At 49.7% G+C, this 12,366-nt stretch overlaps 4 annotated features.

The window, feature by feature from the left end:
• Positions 444–943: an enhancer, noted in NCBI's record as "H3K4me1 hESC enhancer chr10:43789647-43790146 (GRCh37/hg19 assembly coordinates)". NCBI's record gives its function as "activates a minimal SCP1, AML or CMV promoter by ChIP-STARR-seq in primed H9 embryonic stem cells {active_cell/tissue: H9 hESC(primed)}" and the evidence as "EXISTENCE:reporter gene assay evidence [ECO:0000049][PMID:30033119]".
• Positions 944–1,445: an enhancer, noted in NCBI's record as "H3K4me1 hESC enhancer chr10:43789145-43789646 (GRCh37/hg19 assembly coordinates)". NCBI's record gives its function as "activates a minimal SCP1, AML or CMV promoter by ChIP-STARR-seq in naive H9 embryonic stem cells {active_cell/tissue: H9 hESC(naive)}" and the evidence as "EXISTENCE:reporter gene assay evidence [ECO:0000049][PMID:30033119]".
• Positions 8,800–9,308: an enhancer, noted in NCBI's record as "H3K4me1 hESC enhancer chr10:43781282-43781790 (GRCh37/hg19 assembly coordinates)". NCBI's record gives its function as "activates a minimal SCP1, AML or CMV promoter by ChIP-STARR-seq in naive H9 embryonic stem cells {active_cell/tissue: H9 hESC(naive)}" and the evidence as "EXISTENCE:reporter gene assay evidence [ECO:0000049][PMID:30033119]".
• Positions 11,842–12,366: an enhancer, noted in NCBI's record as "H3K4me1 hESC enhancer chr10:43778224-43778748 (GRCh37/hg19 assembly coordinates)". NCBI's record gives its function as "activates a minimal SCP1, AML or CMV promoter by ChIP-STARR-seq in naive H9 embryonic stem cells {active_cell/tissue: H9 hESC(naive)}" and the evidence as "EXISTENCE:reporter gene assay evidence [ECO:0000049][PMID:30033119]".

Here is a 12,366-nt window from a genome sequence, read left to right as displayed (position 1 = left end):
GATGGCAGGGACTCCCAGCAAGTGGCACCCTCCATGGCTGGCTGTCCACTCGCCTTTTAGGTCCCTCCTCAGAGCCCTGTGAGGAGGAGAGGAGCGGCTCCACAGAGCTGTGGGGCCAGGCAAGCAGCAACTCAGGGTTGCTGCAGTCCTCCGGGGGGATCTCAGGGCTGAGCCCAGCAGGGGATGAAGCCAGAGTGCCCTGGAGTCCAGCTCTACCTATAGGTACAGGGATTCGGGGTGCTCAGGGGACCACACAGAGGCTGCGGGCTTGAGAGGTCAGTGAAAGTGGCAAGGAGGGCCAAAGGAGGGGGTGGGTGACCCCAGGAGGGGGTGAGGTGTTCAGAGGAGATGAGATGTTCCCAGGAGGGGGTGGGTGACCACAGGGGGGTGAAATGTTTCCAGGAGGGGGTGAGATGACCCTAGGAGGGGGTGGGGAGACCGTGACCCCAGGAGGGGGTGGGTGACCACAGGGGGTGAGATGTCCCCAGGAGGGGGTGAGATGACCCCAGGAGGGGGTGAGAGGATCCCAGGAGGGGGTAAGGTGTCCCCAGGAGCGGATGAGATGTCCCCAGGAGGATGTGGTGTGTCCACAGGAGGAGCTGGGTGGATGCAGGAAGGGGTGGAGTCACCACAGGAGGTAGGGGGACCACAGGTCGGGTGGGTGGGGTAACCACAGGACCTCAGGTGATCTATCCATTCTCACCTCACCGGAAGCAGTTTCTCGACCCTGGGAAGTCCCCTCTGTGCTCACCCCCTGAGCCTGTCTCCAGGATCAAGAAGGAGGTGCCTATCCTGGTTGCTGGACAGACCCAGACCTCCCCATTTCTGTCTCTCCCTCTAGGATCGGGGACTTTGGGGGAGTGGGCCAGCCGTCCACATGAGGGGCAGGATCGGCTGTCCAAGCCCAGAGGCTGTTGCTCACAGGTGTTCCCTGGATCCAGAGGACTGTAGGGCATGTCCCCGAATTGGGCAGTGTTATTTCAGGAAACCTCAGTGGCACAGCCTTTTGCCAGGCATGAAGTCCAGGGTCCTCAGGCTGGACGAGGCGCATCCTGAGTCCAGATGCAGAGAAGTGAAGCCGCACTTCACAGTTTTTTTCTGGAGTTTCTTAGTCATGGAGCCGTGGTGCTCGGGGGCTCTCAGATACCCTAGAGTACAGCATGATCTTTTCATAGATGGGGCTGCTCTGGTCCAGGGAGGGGAAGGCCCAGAGCAAGACCCTGGGGGGTCTCAGCTGTGGCAAGCCTTTTGCTCCTGGTCACCCTGCGATTCACAGGGGTTGACACACGCAACCTCAAGCCCTCCAGAAATGCCCTCTTGGTCATGTAGTGTAGACAGGGCACTATTCAGAACCACAGTCTCGACTTCAAGTCCTGTCTTTGCCGTTTATGGCTGTGTGCCCTGGGGAATTGATTTAACCTCTCGGAGCATCTAAAATTGGGTTGCAGCTGCCCCATCACATCGAAGGGTGACTAGAAGACTGGACTGCCCTTTTCTGTTATCACTGGGTGTGTGGAGTTGATGGGAGAGAAGCAGTGCCTTTCATCTGTTCTGAAGCTGTGTTCACTCTCAGCACTTCAGAGTCAGGAGCTGGGCGGGCGGCAGGTGATTCTGCACACTTTCACCTGGAACCTGACTGGACGACCCCAGCCCTCAGTGTTTCCAACAAACCACTGAAGGACCACGAGGAAGAAGCCAGCGTCTGGGATGGTGTCCAGAACATTCTGCTGACACCTGCTGGTATGATCAAGGAAGCACCAGCTTCGACCTCGCAGAAGGGCACAGAATGGAATCTGGAGAAAGACAGCAGACGTTCTATCAGAAGTGCCATGCCACCCAGTCCTGCTGGCAAAGTGGACAGCATGGTGTGCAAAACCTGGGCATTACTGTCTCAGAATCAGAAAGGGACTCCGGCGCCTCCCTCTTGCTCAGTCTCTCTCTCCCTGCTCCCCCCCACCCCGTGATATTATTAAGGAAGAGAAACATGTTTTTAGGGACAGAAGAGGGCAGCTCTTTCTTCTGCCCTAGGGACAAGTTACTCCCAATGATTGGCAGAGCATTTGAGTCCTCGCCTCTTCCTTATGTCTCCCTGGGATTCTGTGACCTGAGAAGACAGCACAGGAATCCGTTGTATGCACAATACACACACCTGTTCTGTCAATTAAAGCAGGGAGATCATTCAAATGCAGTAGCAGTCCTCGTGAGGCCACCTGCTCTCCGCTACCAAGCCTGGGGCCCTCCCTGGAGATGACAGGGCAACCCTCCAGTGTACGTCCCTCCTGAGGGCTTCTGCTTAATTCACTTTTGTGTAATTTGAGCTTCATCTGTGAGTTAACACAAATGGATGACATGAAAAGTGTCCCATGGATTCAAGCTTCTGTGACATGCTTTTTCCACTTAGCAATGTAATCCATATTAATGCATATAGGACGACCTCATTTCTAAACTGCCGAATAGGGATCATTTATTTACACTTTTCCATGTTGCTAGACACTGGGGACATTAGTAGCTATGGACGAATTGCCCTCCAGAAATGCTGCACCTATTTACACCCCACCAATCCTAAACATTTTCATAATTCACAGTTTTTGCCAAACTGACGAGTGAAAAATGTGTCTTGTGTCTTGAGATTACGCATGTTTTCATGGATCCCAGTTGCCTGTGCTTCCTCTTCTTTGATTTGCTTGTTTATGTCCTCTCCCTACTTAGTTGTTGAATTTTCCTTAATCGTGTATCAGGGATTGTTTTTCCTGGTATAGCTGTGGCCAATGTTTCCTCTACACTGTAACTTGCCTTTTAGGTTTGCAATTAGTGTCTTTGTATGTTTGTTTTTGAGACAGGGACTCTCTCTGTCATCCAGGCTGGAGTGCAGTGGTGCCATCATAGTTCGCTGCTGCCTCAACCTCCTGGGCTCAATCTATCTTCTCACCTTAGCCTCCTGAGTAGCTGGGACTATAGTCACATGCCACTATGCCCAGCTATTTTTTGCTAGTTTTTGTAGAGATGGTATATTGCCCAGGCTGATCTTGAACTCCTGGACTCAAACAATCTGCCTGCCTCAACTTCCCTAAATGCTGGGATTACAGGTGTGAGCTATCCTGCTTTGCCTAGTGTCTTTTATTCTATAGAACATTTTTGTTTTAAATTTGATGTGGTCAAATGTATTAATCTTTCATTTGTAGCTTTTATAATTCATGTCTTAAGAATGACTTTTCTGCTGGCCAGGTGTGGTGGTTCACGCCTGTAATTCCAGCAGTTTGGGAAACCAAGGTGGGTGGATCACTTGAGGTCAGGAGTTCGAGACCAGCCTGGCCAACGTAGTGAAACCCTGTCTCTACTAAAAATGCAAAAATTAGCCGGGGGTGGTGGCATACACCTGTAGTCCCAGCTACTCGAGAGGCTGAGGCAGGAGAATCGCTTGCACCCGGGAGCGGGAGGTTTCAGTGAGCTGAGATTGCGCCACTGGACTCCAGCTTGGGCGACAGAGCAAGACTCCATCTCAAAAAAGAAATGACTTTTCTACCTCAATATATATCCTTTTATATTTTCTTCACTTATATTTTTGCATATTTTCTTTAAGTTTTATAATTTTCTTTTTTTATGAGTTGAAGGTTTTATAATTTTCTTACAATGGTTTAGATTAATACATCATCTGGATTGTTTGAGTGTTGTGAGATAGCTCTCTATCTTATGTTACAAATATAGTGAGTCAACCCAGAACCATTTTTTGAATAGCCTATATTTTCACATTCTTTTAGTTTATAGGAAGTTACTAAATGCATGGGCCTATTTCAGGACACTGTTCTTTTTTAAAGTGAGTATTTTATATATTTATTCTTTTTTAAAATGTTATTTATTATTATTTTTTTAAATTTTTTTAGAGGTGGTCTCACTCTGTTGCCCAGGCTGGAGTGTGGTGGCGTGATCATAGCTTACTGTAGCCTCAAAATCCTGGGCTCAAACGATCCACCTGTCTCAGCCTCCTGAGTAGCTCAGACTACAGGTGTGCACACCACCACACCTAGATGATTTCTATTATTGTTATTATTTTAGGCTGAGATGGGGTCTTCCAATGTTGTCCAGGCTGGCTATATGTTTATTTTTATATATTGTTTCAATTAAAATCATTTATTGCATATTTTGTGTATCACAGAGAATCTCTGCTGCATTCTTCTCTTTTTCACACTTGTCTTTTTTTGTACATTTTCTATTTCTAATTGGCTTGTCAGTTTTATAGCGGAAATCCTGTTTGATTGTAATTGATGCCAAATTTAAATTCTACACTAATTTAGGGGAAAACTGACATTTGTACCATGTTCAATCTTCCATTGAGGAACACAGTATATCTCTATTCGTGCAATACATGCTACACTTTATAGTCTTCTCCACATTGGTACTGCTCATTTTTTGTTGGGCTTCCCCTCTATGTGCTGTAACAGTGTTGCTATCATGAATGACATTTTTCTTTTCTATGTTATAATTCATCATTGCTGATAGCTAGGAGGGCTTTGTGTAGATCTTGCCACATAGTTGAATTTGTCCTAATTATTCTTATAGTTTGTTAGTTCAATTTTCTAGACAGTGTAGAAAGTCACATTGCCTGAAAAAATGACACTGCATTTTACGATAAACCTTGTGTTCTCTTGTTCATTTCCTTCCCTGTAGTTCTTAAGTCTACTGGGGTTTTCTCACTCATTTTGATAATTTGTATTTTTTCCATACATTTTTCCATGATGCCTATGATTTCAAAGCTTTCCTCATACATATTGGGCCACGAAGACTAATTTCCTTCACCCACTTCATCTTTCCCCACATCATCTGTCTGTGTTTTCTCTCTTCTCCTGACCGTCTGCCCAAGTTGCACTACCCAGGTTGGGAACGCTCATGCAAACCCCTGAGCCTCACCTGCTTCCATCGAAACTCACAGCATCACTCCATTCTGAGGGTGAGTTTTTTTCCTATTGAATTTCTAATTTTCCCATTTATTTCTATTTCATGACTTTCTACTTTTTTCTCTGTTTTTTCATTTTTGTTTTTTTGTTTGTTTGTTTGTTTGTTTGTTTGTTTTTTGAGGTAGGGTCTTGGTCTGTTGCCCAAGCTGAAGTGCGGTGGCACGATCTTGGCTCACTGCAGCTTCTGCTTCCTAGGTTCAAGCCATTCTCCCACCTCAGCCTCCCAAATAGCGGGTATTAGAGGCGCCCGCCACCACGACTGGCTAATTTTTGTATTTTAGTAGAGACAGGGCTTCACTATGTTGTCCAGGTTGGTCTCAAACTCCTGGGCTCAAGTGATCCATCCACCTCCTCACAGGTGAGGGGTAGGGGGATTCCAGGCATAAGCCACCGCACTCAGCCTTGCTTTTTTCTCTATCAATCACTTTATTCAACTTTATTGGGTTATTTTAATGTTAGTGTTCCTGTTTTTGAACTAAGATAGTAGTTCATTTATTTTTAATCTTCCTTTTCTCTAATAAACGTATTAAGGCTTCTACATTTTCTGTGGATATTGCTTTGAAACATTTCACAAGTTTAAAAAGTGGAATATTCTGTTCTGTCACCCATTTCTAAGTGGTTGGTAATTTCTATTTGGGTTTTGTTTGTTTGTTTGTTTTAGACAAGGTCTCTCTGTGTTGTCTAGGCTGGAGTGCAGTGGCTATTGTCACACGTGTGATCATTGCATACGACTCCTCCAACTCCTGGGCTCAAGTGATCTTCCTGCCTCAGCCTGCTGTGTAGTTGGGACTATGGTCATGTACTACCAAGCCTGGCTTGTTTTGGTGTTCTTTTAAAAGTTATTTTATTTTATTTTATTTATTTTTTTGAGACAGGGTCTTGCTCTGTCACTCAGGCTGGAGTGCAGTGGCACTGGATTACAGCTCACTGCAGCTTCGACCTCCCTGGCTGAGGCGATCCTCCTTCTTCAGCCTACCAAGTGGCTGGGACCACAGGTGCACACCACCACACTTGGCTACTTTTTAAATTAGTTTTAGTGACAGGGTCTCCCTATGTTGACCAGGCTGGTCTTGAACTCCTGGACTCAAGTGATCCTCCTGCCTCGGCCTCCCAAAGTGCTGGGATTGTAGCTGTGAGCCACTACACCTGGTGATTATTGTAGCTTTGTAGTAAGTTTTCAAATCAGGAATTGTGAGTCATCCAACTTTGTTCTTCTTTTTGAAGATTTTTTTAACTATCCTGGGTTCCTTGAATTTTCATATGAATTTTCAGAACAGCTTGTAACTTTCTGCAGAGAATTCACCTGGGATTCTGATATGGATTCTGTGAACCCAGAGATCTTTAAGAAGTATTGCCGTCTTAACCATATTAAGTCTCCCAATCCATGAATGTGGATGTCTTTCCATTTATTTAAGTGTTCTTTAATTTCTCCCAACTGTGTTTATAGTTTTCAGTGTACAAGTTTTGCACTTCTTTTGTTAAATTTATTCATAAATTTTCAGTCTTTTAATTTTTTTGAGACAGGGTCTTTCTGTGTTGCCCAGGCTGGAGTGCAGTGGTGCCAACACGGATCACTGCAGCCTTAACCTCCTGGGCTTAAGTGAGCCTCCTGCTTCAGCCTCCTGAGAAGCTAATTATGTATATATTTTTTGTAGAGATAGAGTCTTGCTATATTGCCCAGGCTGGTCTCAAACTCCTGGCCTCAAGCCATCCTCCTGCCTTGGCCTCCCAAAGTGCTGGGAGTCACAGTGCCCGGTCAATATTTTATTCTTTCTGATGCCCTTGTGAACAGAATTTGTTATGGGTTGAACTATATCTCCCCAAAATTCATATGCTGAAGTCTCACTTCCTAGTACTTTAGAATGTGACCCTATTCGGAAATAGGGTAACTACAGATGCAAATAATTGACTTAGAATGAGGTCACCCTGGAACAAGGTGGGCCCTAATCCAATGTAACTGGTGTCCTTATTAAAAGGGAAATTTGGACACAGACACAGGCTCAGGCACACAGGGAGAACTGCATGTGGAGCCTGGGGTTTTGCTGCCGCAAGCCAAGGAGCTATCAGAAATAAGGATAGAGGCTTGGGACAGAGCTTTCCCCTACGGCCTTCTGTGAGGGAACCAACCCTGCATCACCTTGGTTTTGGACCTCTGGCCTCCAGAGCTATGAGACAATATATTTGTAAGCTACCCATAAGCTACCCAATTGGTGGCATTTTGTTATGGTGTCCCTCCAAATTATATTGTTTTCTTAATTTGATTTTCAGTTTGTTCATTGCTAGTGTATAGAATATGACCGATTTTTGCATATTCACCTTGCACCTTACAGCCTTGCTGAACTTGCTATTAGCTGTGAGTGTGTGTGTGTGTGTGTGTTCCTTAGTACTTTTTATATTCAAGATTTCATCATCTGCAAACAGAGAGTTTTACCTCTTCCTTTCCAATCTGGATGCTGTCAAGATTTGCAGTGGAATATGTTCTGGCTTCCTATTTACGCACATCTCTCTGTGGATATTAATTATACTTATTCTAAAGTCTTATTCTGTTTGTTGTATTAGCTCTGGGTCCCTGAATGTGTTTTCCATGAGATGTGTTGGTTTCCTCTTTTGTGCTACTTGTCTGCCTTGGGTGTTTAAATTACAGTGACTCACGACTGGGCTCCTCCTCGCCCTTCCACTTCCTGTTTACCGGTGTGACTGTTCTGTTTCTTCTGCCCAAGGCACATGGGGGCAGGGCAAGCCTTGTGGTCAGTTGTGGGCTCACCTGGAGGAGTTTCCTGGAGTGGGGCCACTCTGCTGCCTGGGGTTGCTCCAGACTCCGCCTGGCCTCTGAAGCCCAAATGCCTACACTTCCACCCTGTCCTGGAGCAAGTGAAGGAGGAGGACAGGTGTTGACTCCCAGGTCCTCTCCAGGGTCTCAAAGCCCTCGGAGCCCAGGCCCCTCTGCTGCTTCCTCCCAGAGCCTGCAGCACAGCCCAGGAGTCTCTTTTCGTTGTTACTGTTTTTGTTTGGAGACAGGGTCTCGCTCTGTCACCCAGGCTGAAGTGCAGTGGTGTGAACACAGCTCACTACAGCCTCGACTCCCCGAGCTCAAGTGATCCTCCTGTCTCAGTTTCCTGTGTAGCTGGGACTACAGGTATGCACCATCACACCAGGCTACTTTTTAATTTTTTGTAGAGACAGAGTCTCCCTATGTTGCCCAGGCTGGTTTCGAACCTCTGGGCTCAAGGGATCCTCCTGGCTCAGCCTCCCATTTGTGGCAATACGGGACTAGAAAACTGATCTCACTGGTCTCCCCCTGTCCTCTGTAAAATGGGTAGAACATTCCTCTCTGAAAGGCCAACATGGGAATGAACACAGGGCATGCTTGGGAGGCACCTGTGCACTGAGGTGCATTCAGGTGTCACAGGGTCTCATCAACTCCCTGTGGCCTGGTTGGTCAGTGCCTGTGCCACAGGCCTGTAGGGTCTGTGGGGACTCACCGGAGCAAAGAAGGCCAAGCACCTCCCCGCTCTGGGTTCCAGAGATTCCAACAAGCTCTGCTGTCTTGCAGGGGGTGCCCGAGTGCGCCTGAGTATGCCACCTTTGCACTCTGGGTACACACGCCAGACACCGACAGGTGCCCTCGCAGACACGTGCACAGACATGCACCCTGTGGAGCAGCCCATAGCACCCCACAGTCCTCGGTGGGGCGGGATTATTCTTTCTCCACATCCGCTTCTGTTTCCTCTTTCCCTGTCCCGCTCCCACTCCCTCTGAAAGAATCCTTTTCTGTCTCCTGTGCCCTCTCCCCAGCTTGACCAGGCCTCAGTTTGCGCTCTTGGCTTCATCACGCGGTGTCAGCTATGCTGCAAGTAGAGTTGGGAGTTCGCTTCAGCATCCACAGCCCCTTGGTGTGGTCCCCTCCACCAAACCAGCCCCAGAGCATGGGGGAGAGGCTCAGCTGCCCCACTGCCCTCAAGGAGGGCTGGCGAGGGTGGGGTCACACAAGGCGTGAAAATTAGGAGCAGTAGCCCAGCTGCAGGATGCTCCCTGAGCAAAGCCACCCTCTGCCCTGGGATGAGGCAGAAGCTTACTCTCCCATCCCTTAGCCCAGGCAGGGGTTTAGGGGCCACCCCCAGGGCCAGCTGTGGCTCCTTTCCTGGGGTCACCATAGGAAGCCTCCCCCAACCCCAGTTCTCTTGGCAGAATGGCTGGGGGCCTGACAATGACCCATCCAAGCCCAGGCAGAAGGCTGGGCTCTGGCCTGTCCCTGCCATGGGCTGCAGCCAGCCTCCCAACCCCTCAGGCTGTCTCTTCTGCGAAATGGCTGCCTGTCCTCCCCAGTGAGGAGCGTGTTCTGGGACCTGAGGGTCATCTTGCCTGGCTAAACTAATGTGAGTCTTCTCTGCATTTCCCATGTCCGCTCCTGCTTCCTCCCTCCATTCATTAATTCACCCCCCTCATTTGTTCAGCAAGTGTGTGCTGAGAGCCTGCCCTGTGCTGCACACCGCATGTGCATGGGGTATGGTAACACGGTCTGACCTGGCCCTGGAAACCCTCTTGCGGCTTCTCTAGGGGCCTTTGCTTTAAGCCTCCCCCGCAACCTGGCATCCACTGGCTGCTTCCGGGAAGCACTGGAAGTGTGGAGAACCCTTCCTGATCAGTTATGATCCGTTTAGTTGAAAAACAATGCCATTCACAGTGGCACCCATGCAGGAGCTTTCCATCCCAATTAGAAATGAGTGATTTAATCTGTGAGCAGGGACAGAAGTTGGATTCTGACAAACGCATCAACCTCTAGAAAGAAGAGAGTGCCCAAGCCTCCCCCTCCATTAGCAGGAAGGCAGTGCATCCTCTTCCCTCTGTCTTCTTTCTAGAAGAGAGAGGAGGAGGGAAAGAGGGGAGATGAGAAGGGAGTCCCCACAGACTCTCCTGACCAGTGCCAGTTTGGGCCCAGGAGATGAGGGAAGCAGATGGCAGGGTCCACAGGGCCCCATGTTCCTCTTCAGGGACTCACCATCCGCACTGTCTTAAGGAGGCTCAATGTGCCCCATACGAGAGGGACACAGACTGTACCTCCTGAGGAATGCCGTTAGCCTCCAGGGGCTCACCACTCTCAGACCACTATTTTTACCATTCAAAACCCAGTCTGTGAGGGCTCGCACTGCTGGGCTAATTAAGAGTATTTTTTTTGGGGGGGGGGGCTGTGCATGCACGTGTGTGCATGTGTTCGTGTGCTCTGTTGCCATTGCCAGGCACTTCCCTGGTGTTCCCTCCTCCTTTATCCAAAGAGGTGCCCTCAGTTTACTCCCCTGTTACTGACATGGAAACTGCTTCTGAGGTGCACAAGGGACTTGGCCCAGTTCACACAGACAGTTAAGTGGCAGTGCTAGGACTGAAGTTAGCTCACAGCACCCCCATCTCTCTCTGCCTCTGGTTCATGTGCCCCTGGACCCCCTCACCTTTTAGTTTGGGATGCCAGCCCCATGTGGCCAGGGAGGCCCCCATGCTCAACCTTCACAGCCCCTGGCTGGAGACCTGCTGGTGACTCAGTGTCCAAAAAACCAGGCTGAGTTCCTGGGTCTCCAACATGTAGCCAGAAAGGAGGTCATGTTTCTGAAGTATGTACCTTGGACCAGATACTTCTCAGTGGGATCCTTGCTCAGTACCCTGGACAGGGCTATGGGAGAGGCACGACTGTCAGTCATGCCCTTCACAGACCAGGTGAGACACTGGAGGCTAGGAGGGGCTGGCCTTGTGTGAGTATGTGAGCATTAATACGGGCCTTCCTCCAGGGACTCTCAGCTTCAGGGCACAGGAACCTTGTAAGCCTAGCACCGAGCATGGCCATTTGGGTCTGACCTCCAAATCTATTTTTTGTTTTGTTTTGTTTTGTTTTTGAGATGGAGTCTCACTCTGTCACCCAGGCTGGAGTGCAGTGGCGTGATCTTGGCTCACTGCAACCTCCACCTCCTGGGTTCAAGTGATTGTCCTGCCTCAGCCTCCCAAGTAGCTGGGACTACAGTCGCGCACCACCATGCCCGACTAATTTTTGTATTTTCTGTAGAGACGGGGTTTCACCATATTGGCCAGGCTGGTCTCAAACTCCTGACCTCAGGTGATCCACCCGCCTCGGCCTCCCAAAGTGCTGGGATTACAGGCGTGAGCCACTGTGCCCAGCTCCAAATCTAAATGGCCTCTGGCTACCTAGAAAGGAAGGCCCTGGAGCTCAGCTGTGGTGTGAACCTTACCACAGAACCCTTGGAGCCATGCAGCACAACACAAGGATGCTAGCAGCAAACAGAGCTGGGTTAGAGTCCCAGCTCCACCACTCACTGTCGCTTGTCCTCTCTGTCTTTCCTGCCTGCAAAATGGGAACAACAGTAGCACCCACCCCACAGGGTGCTGTGAGGATCAGAGAGGATGCAGGGAAAGGATTAGTGGGTGGGGGACAGGAAGTGGTCAGCAGAGGGCAGCCCTTCGAGGGGCAAAGAGGGAACAGTGTCCCACCACTCGATAACGCTGGGAACAGAGAGCTTCGCTTTGAATGGAGCTCTACCCCAGTGCAGCAGCCGTGCTGGCACCTGCGGCAGGACTGGGCAGCCTCATCCCAGTGGGGCCTTCTCTCTCTTGCATTGGCCCCTGCTGCTCTCACGATTTCTCCACTAAAGGTGGATGAGTAAAGGCATTTCCATTCCACACCAAGGGCCCTTGGAAAGCACAGCACCCCAAGGTCAAGAGTGTGAGCAGGCAGGCCAGAGAGAGAAGGTGTGTCCTGGGCCGGGAGGTAGAGCCACAGAGCTGGTCTGTGCTGGTTGGGCAGGGCTTGCCATTCTGGGGAACATATAGCATCTCTCTGTCCAGGGAGGTCATCTGGCCCCCCAACCCTCCCTTGGCTTCCACTCATGTCTTTGGCCTCTTAGCCCCTAGGGTGCAGTTAGATAATCCTAACCCTGGCTGATGACGAGAAGGGGCTCGTCAGCTGCCTATGACATTTGCAGGGTACCTGGGCACACTACTACCCGGGCACACTACTACCCTCAGCCTGATCCTTCCTGCTGTCGGGAAGAAGGTCCTTCTGTCCTGGTATTCGTCACCCAGGAATTCCCCGGAGCACCGCCCCCAAGTGCTGTCCTCGGTGCTGACCAACAGCGCACGTCTTTGTGGCCGGCAGCCAAGGACCCTCAGACAGAGAGAGGTTCCAACTTTCGCAGAAAGCTGGATTAGGCTGCAGAGTTGCAGGATCCTGAGCCTTAACGACAGCAGATGTCTGACACTGCCTGGCTGTCCTCAGCCTCAGAAGCGGGTGCTGAGAGCCCTATGTGGACTCGTTCCTTGCAGAGCTGCTGCTGGGGCGCATTCCGCACTTCAGAGGCGGAAGCTCTCCAGGGTGGAGAGACATCAGTCTTGCCCATAGCCCTAAATAAGTGTT

This window comes from Homo sapiens, chromosome 10 (genome assembly GCF_000001405.40).
Source record: "Homo sapiens chromosome 10, GRCh38.p14 Primary Assembly".
NCBI classification, from domain to species: domain Eukaryota; kingdom Metazoa; phylum Chordata; class Mammalia; order Primates; family Hominidae; genus Homo; species Homo sapiens.
The sequence above is the reverse complement of the archived record's forward strand: the minus strand, read 5'-3'. Positions and strand labels throughout refer to the sequence as shown.